Source organism: Homo sapiens, chromosome 19 (assembly GCF_000001405.40).
Source record: "Homo sapiens chromosome 19, GRCh38.p14 Primary Assembly".
Classification (NCBI taxonomy): domain Eukaryota; kingdom Metazoa; phylum Chordata; class Mammalia; order Primates; family Hominidae; genus Homo; species Homo sapiens.
The window spans coordinates 9545853-9551852 of record NC_000019.10 but is presented as its reverse complement, the minus strand read 5'-3'; positions in this window follow the sequence as shown (position 1 = coordinate 9551852).

Sequence of the window (6000 nt, the reverse complement as noted above, 5' to 3'; positions counted from 1 at the left end):
ATAAAACCATTGGAATCAAAGGAATATAATAAGATTGGCATGAGTAAATCTATGAATGGCACAGAAGGATCTAGAAACTGATACAGGTATATATAAGAATTACTGTTTTAAAAAGGTGGATACAATTGTGTCCATAATAATTCAAAAGTTTAATGTCATAAAATTAGGAGTAACAAAGTTTTAAAAAATTTAAGAATACAACTATTATGTATCCATAATGATGAAAAAATTGTTTTTTGAGATGGAGTCTCTCTCTGTCACCCAGGCTGGAGTACAGTGGTGCAATATTGGCTTGCTGCAACCTCTGCTTCCCGGGTTCAAGCAATTCTCCTGCCTCACCCTCCCGAATAGCTGGGATTACAGGTGCGTGCAACCACGCCCAGCTAATTTTTGTATTTTTAGTAGAGACAGGGTTTCACCATGTTGGTCATGCTGGTCTTGAACTCCTGACCTTGTGATCTGCCCACCTCAGCCTCCCAAAGTGCTGGGATTACAAGCATGAGCTATTGCACCTGGCCCAATTAAAAAAAAAATTAATAAGGTAGAATTTCATATCAGCAGGTCAAATGTAGTGCCTTAGTCTGTTCCTGCACTGCTCTAATTTAGAAAGAAATTTGAAAAGAGGTTTAATTCCACAGGCTGCACAGGAAGCATGGCTGGGAGGCCTCAGGAAACTTTCAATCATGGTGGAAGGTGAGGAGGAAGCAGGCAGGACTTTACATGGTGGAGCAGGAGAGAGAGAGCAAAGGGGGAGGTGCTACACACTTTTAAACAACCAGTTCTCCTGAGAACCCTATCATGAGACAGGGCTAGGGGGATGGTGATAAACCATTAGAAACCACCCCCATGATCCAATCACCTCTTGCCAGGCCCCACTTCCAACATTGGGGATTACATTTGGGTGGGGACCCAGAGCCAAACCATATCAGGCAGTTTCTCTCAATAAGTGGTGCTACAAAAATTGGCCCTCTTTTTGGATGAGATAAAATTGGATCCACTACTCCACACCACATGCCCAAATACATTCCAATAAAAATATATATGTATATACACATATATGTGATCTGCGCACCTTGGCCTCTCAAAATGCTGGGATTACAGGTGTGAGCCCCTGCACCCTAACAAAACATATAAATTTTTAAAGTAATACATTTCAAATGAAAAGATTGAAATCTCTGTCATCTAGAGTTTGAAAAGACTTTTTAGGCCAGGTGCGGTGGCTCATGCCTGTAATCCCAGCACTTTGGGAGGCCAAGGTGGGCAGATCACTTGAGGTCAGGAGTGTTACACGTGTCCGTGTGAAAAGACCACCAACAGGCTTTGTGTGAGCAACAAGGCTGTTTATTCACTCGGGTGCAAGTGGGCTAAGTCTGAGAAAGGAGTCAGCAAAGGGAGATAGGGGTGGGGCAGTTTTATAGGATTTGGGTAGGTAGTGGAAAGTTACAGTTAAAGGTGGTTATCATTTGTGGGCAGGGGCGGGGGTCTCAAAGTGCTTGGTGGGGAGCTCCTGAGACTCATTGTCCAGGAGAAGAATGTCACAAGGTCAAGAGATCAGTTGGGGTGGGGTAGGAACAAATCACAATTGTGGAACCTCATCAGTTAAGGCAGGAACTGGCTGTTTCACTTCTTTTGTGGTTCTTCAGTTGCTCCAGGCCATCTGCATATATACGTGCAGGTCACACGGGTTATGATGGCTTAGCTTGGGCTTGGAGGCCTGACATTCCAGTCTTCTTATATTAATCAGAAAAACAAAATAGTGGTGAAGTGTTGGGGGGCAATGAAAATTTTGGGGGGAGCTATGGAGAGATAATGGGCAATGTTTCTCAAGGCTGCTTCAAGTGGGATGAGGGGCAACATGGGAACCTAGAGTGGGAGAGATTAAACTGAAGAAAGATTTTGAGAAAAGGGGTGATATTGTGGGGTTGTTAAAAGGAGTATTTGTTGTATAGAATGATTGGTGATGGCCTGGATGTGGTTTTGTATGAATTGAGAAACTAAACGGAAGACACAAGGTCTGAATAAGAGAAGGAGAAAAACAAGTATTAGAGGACTAAGAATTGGGAGGAGCCAGGACATCCTATTAGAAAGTGCCCAGGGAGGTCCAGCATAATTATGTGCCTGGTTGGTGAGTTTTTTGGGCTCTACCTTTGAGTTTTTTATGTAGTCTTAATTCAGGGCACACTGATTCAGGTAAAAACAACATTCTAATTTTAGAAATATGCAGAGTCCTCCTTTTTCAGCAGTGAGTAAGTCGAGGCCTCTTCCTGTCTTCTTATATTAATAAGAAAAACAAAACTGTAGTGAAGTGTTCGTGTCCTGAGGGGAACAGGATGCTGTTCAGTCCCATTTGCAAATCGATTTTTTGGAAGAAGGAAAACTAGTGTACATGTGCCTGTCCAATTAATAGGTAGACACATGTAGGTGGAGGAGTCACAGGGAAGAAGAGATCTTGTGTAAGGCAAAACTGGAAATGTAAAGTGAAAAGATGAGAGGGAGCGCCAAAAGAGGTGCACCCAGACTCCTAGGGATCCAGCTGTGTCTGGAATTGGTGGGTTCTTGGTCTCACTGACTTCAAGAATGAAGCTGCAGACCCTCAAGGTGAGTGTTACAGTTCTTAAAAGTGGTGTGTCTGGAGTTTGTTCCTTCTGATGTTCAGACGTGTTTGGAGTTTCTTCCTTCTGGTGGGTTCGTCATCTTGCTGGCTTTAGGAGTGAAGCTGCAGACCTCCGCAGTGAGTGTTACAGCTCTTAAGGCTGTGAGTCTGTAGTTGTTTGTTCCTTCTGATGTTCAGACGTGTTTGGAGTTTCTTCCTTCTGGTGGGTTCGTCATCTTGCTGGCTTTAGGAGTGAAGCTGCAGACCTCCGCAGTGAGTGTTACAGCTCTTAAGGCTGTGAGTCTGTAGTTGTTCATTCCTCCTGTCCAGAGTTGTTCATTCCTCCTGGTGGGTTTGTGGTCTCGCTGGCCTCAGGAGTGAAGCTGCAGACCTTCACAGTGAGTGTTACAGCTCATAAAGGCAGTGTGGACCCAAAGAGTGAGCAGCAGCAAGATTTATTGCAAAGAGTGAAAGAACAAAGCTTCCACAGTGTAGAAGAGGATGTGAGCGGGTTGCCGCTGCTGGCTCAGGTAGCCTGCTTTTATTCCCTTATCTGGCCCCACCCACATCCTGCTGATTGGTGCATTTTACAGAGAGCTGATTGGTCCTTTTTGACAGGGTACTGATTGGTGCGTTTACAATCCCTGAGCTAGACACAGAGTGCTGATTCGTGCATTTACAATCCTCTAGCTAGACATAAAAGTTCTCCAAGTCCTCACCAGATTAGCTAGATACAGAGTGCTGATTGGTGTGTTTACAAACCTTGAGCTAGACACAGGGTGTTGACTGGTGCATTTACAAACCTTGAGCTAGACACAGAGTGCTGGTTGGTGTATTTACAATCCTTTAGCTAGACATAAAGGTTCTCCAAGCCCCACCAGATTAGCTAGACACAGAGCACTGATTGGTGCGTTTACAAACCTTAAGCTAGACACAGAGTGCTGATTGGTGCATTTACGGTCTTCTAGCTAGACATAAAAGTTCTCCAAGTCCCCACCCGACACAGGAGCCCAGCTGGTTTGCCTAGTGGATCCTGCTGCAGGCGGAGCTGCCTGCCAGTCCCATGCCATGCCTGCACTCCACAGCCCTTGGGCAGTCAATGGGACTGGGCACCATGGAGCAGGGGGTGGCGCCCGTTGGGGAAGCTTGGGCCATGTGGGAGCCCACCACAGGGGGGCTCAGGCCTGGTGGGCTGCAGGTCCTGAGCCCTGCCCTGTGGGGAGGCGGCTGAGGCATGGCAAGAATTCGAGCATGGCATGGGTGGGCTGGCAGTGCTGGGGGACACGGCGCACTCTCCGCAGCTGCTGGCCCAGGTGCTAAGCCCCTCACTGCCCAGGGCTGGTGGTGCCAGCCGACTGCTCCAAGTGCAGGGCCCACCTGGAACTTGCGCTGGCCCGTGAGCGCCGAGCACAGCCCCGGTTCCCACCCATGCCTCTCCCTCCTCACCTCCCTGCAAGCAGAGGGAGCCGGCTCCAGCCTTGGCCAGCCCAGAGAGGGGCTCCCACAGTGCAGTGGTGGGTGGAAGTTCTCCTCAAGTGTGGCCAGGTGGACACCAAGGCTGAGGAGGTGCTGAGAGTGAGTGAGGGCCGCCAGCATGTTGTCACCTCTCACAGCAAGGGCAGCAGCCGTTAGAAGTTGTAATGGGGATTGATAGGGCAACTGGGTAGAGGGAGAGGTTCAGTATTCATGGTGTATTAGAAAACTCATAGTGTCTACAAGCAACCTTTCATTGCTATTCATGGGGTTGTGTATAAGTAAACAAGAAGGGGGGCTGGGAGGAGAGGCTGAAGAACAAGGGGAAGGTAGCCAAGGATGGAGTGAAGTGCAGGACAAATGTCTTCCTAAATAATAGTAACTGCTAATGTTTTTAAGTTTGCCAGTATTGATAGAGGGCTTATCTATAATGTGGAGCTAAAAAGCCCCATTGGTTTTGGTAATATGTGTAGTTGGGCTTTGGAGATGAAGAGTGAAGAAGCATAGAGAAGGTGAAATGTTACCTAGGGGAATTCCAGTCAGTCTTTGCCGAGAGATGCACAAAGGAGTGACAACAGGGATAGTAGTTTATGTTGTGAGGGGTTCAAATATGGGTGGAGTAGAATTAATATAAGGATAAAGGTTTTTTTTTTTTTTTGAGACAGAGTCTTGCTCTGTCACCCAGGCTGGAGTGCAGTGGCACGATCTCGGCTCACTGCAAGCTCTGCCTCCTGGGTTCACGTGATTCTCCTGCCTCAGCCTCCTGAGTACCTGGGACTACAGGTGCCTGCAACCATGCCCAGCTAATTTTTTGTATTTTTAGTAGAGACGAGTTTCACCGTGTTAGCCAGGATGGTTTCAATCAAGGATAAAGATTTTTTAAGTAGATGCGGAGAAGAGCATCAGCTTGCTGATATGAAATGTCTGAGGTTTTGCTAGACCTGTCTAGAAAGTAAAGAAGTTCTTCAGAAGGGTAAAGATGAGGGCTGTTAAAGGAGGTTCAGAGATGTAGGGAGACAGGAGATGTTGCCCAGTCGGTATGTAAGGTGGGGACAGCTGTGTAAGAGCAGGAAAAAAGGGAAATGCAAAGCCAGCAATTGTTCACTAAGGAGGGATTAGAAAGAGTGAGGAGGGAGTGAGCGAGATTGATAGTATGTTGGAGGTAATTAGGGAGGGGTAGAGGATGGCAGGAGAATGGGAATGAGGAAAAGTAAAGAAAAGGACTTCATCAGGGTGAAAGAATTGGAGTGTGCCTTGCCAGCAAAGGTCATCTATCCACTCCAAGGGGGAGTTAAGAGTGGTGGTTAGGGGCTAAGACCAGGAGATATCAGCTATGATGGTTTGGAGAAAAAGTGTAAACTGGCAGTGTAGACAAGGGCAGGACATTTATGGGTAGGTGAGAATGAAGAGTAGGAGTATGACTAGACAGAAGATAGCAGGGATGAAAAGTTTTGGGGTACAGTCCAAGTAGTGGGGGTGACTGTGTGAAGCCCTGTTGTAAAGATCAGGGTAAGGAAGAATAGACCTAACAAAATGAAAGGGTGTATTAGGCTCACAAGTGTCACTACTGTTCTTCAGAAATGCGGGTGAGTTTAAGGGAAGTAGGGGTGAGTACTTGCAACTTCCAGGAGGAAGAGGAGAGATCAGGCTGTCTGTCCGATGGGCACAGCTTTATCCTGGAATGGTGAACCCAATGGGCAGGGTCCTGCAGATGGATGGCCATTGGAGTACTATAGATGACTAAGTGGGGTCCAGTCCACCGAGTTTGTAGAGTTTGAGGGGTCAGATTCTTAAGAACTGATCGTCCAGCTAGGGTGTCCTCATATGGCTGGGAATCTGGAGTAGGCAAAAGAAGATTAGCAGCCTGGTAAATTTCCTGTCTAGCCTGCTGGAGGACTGGAAGGTAGTCCCCCAGAGGGCTGGTGTCTGGAATG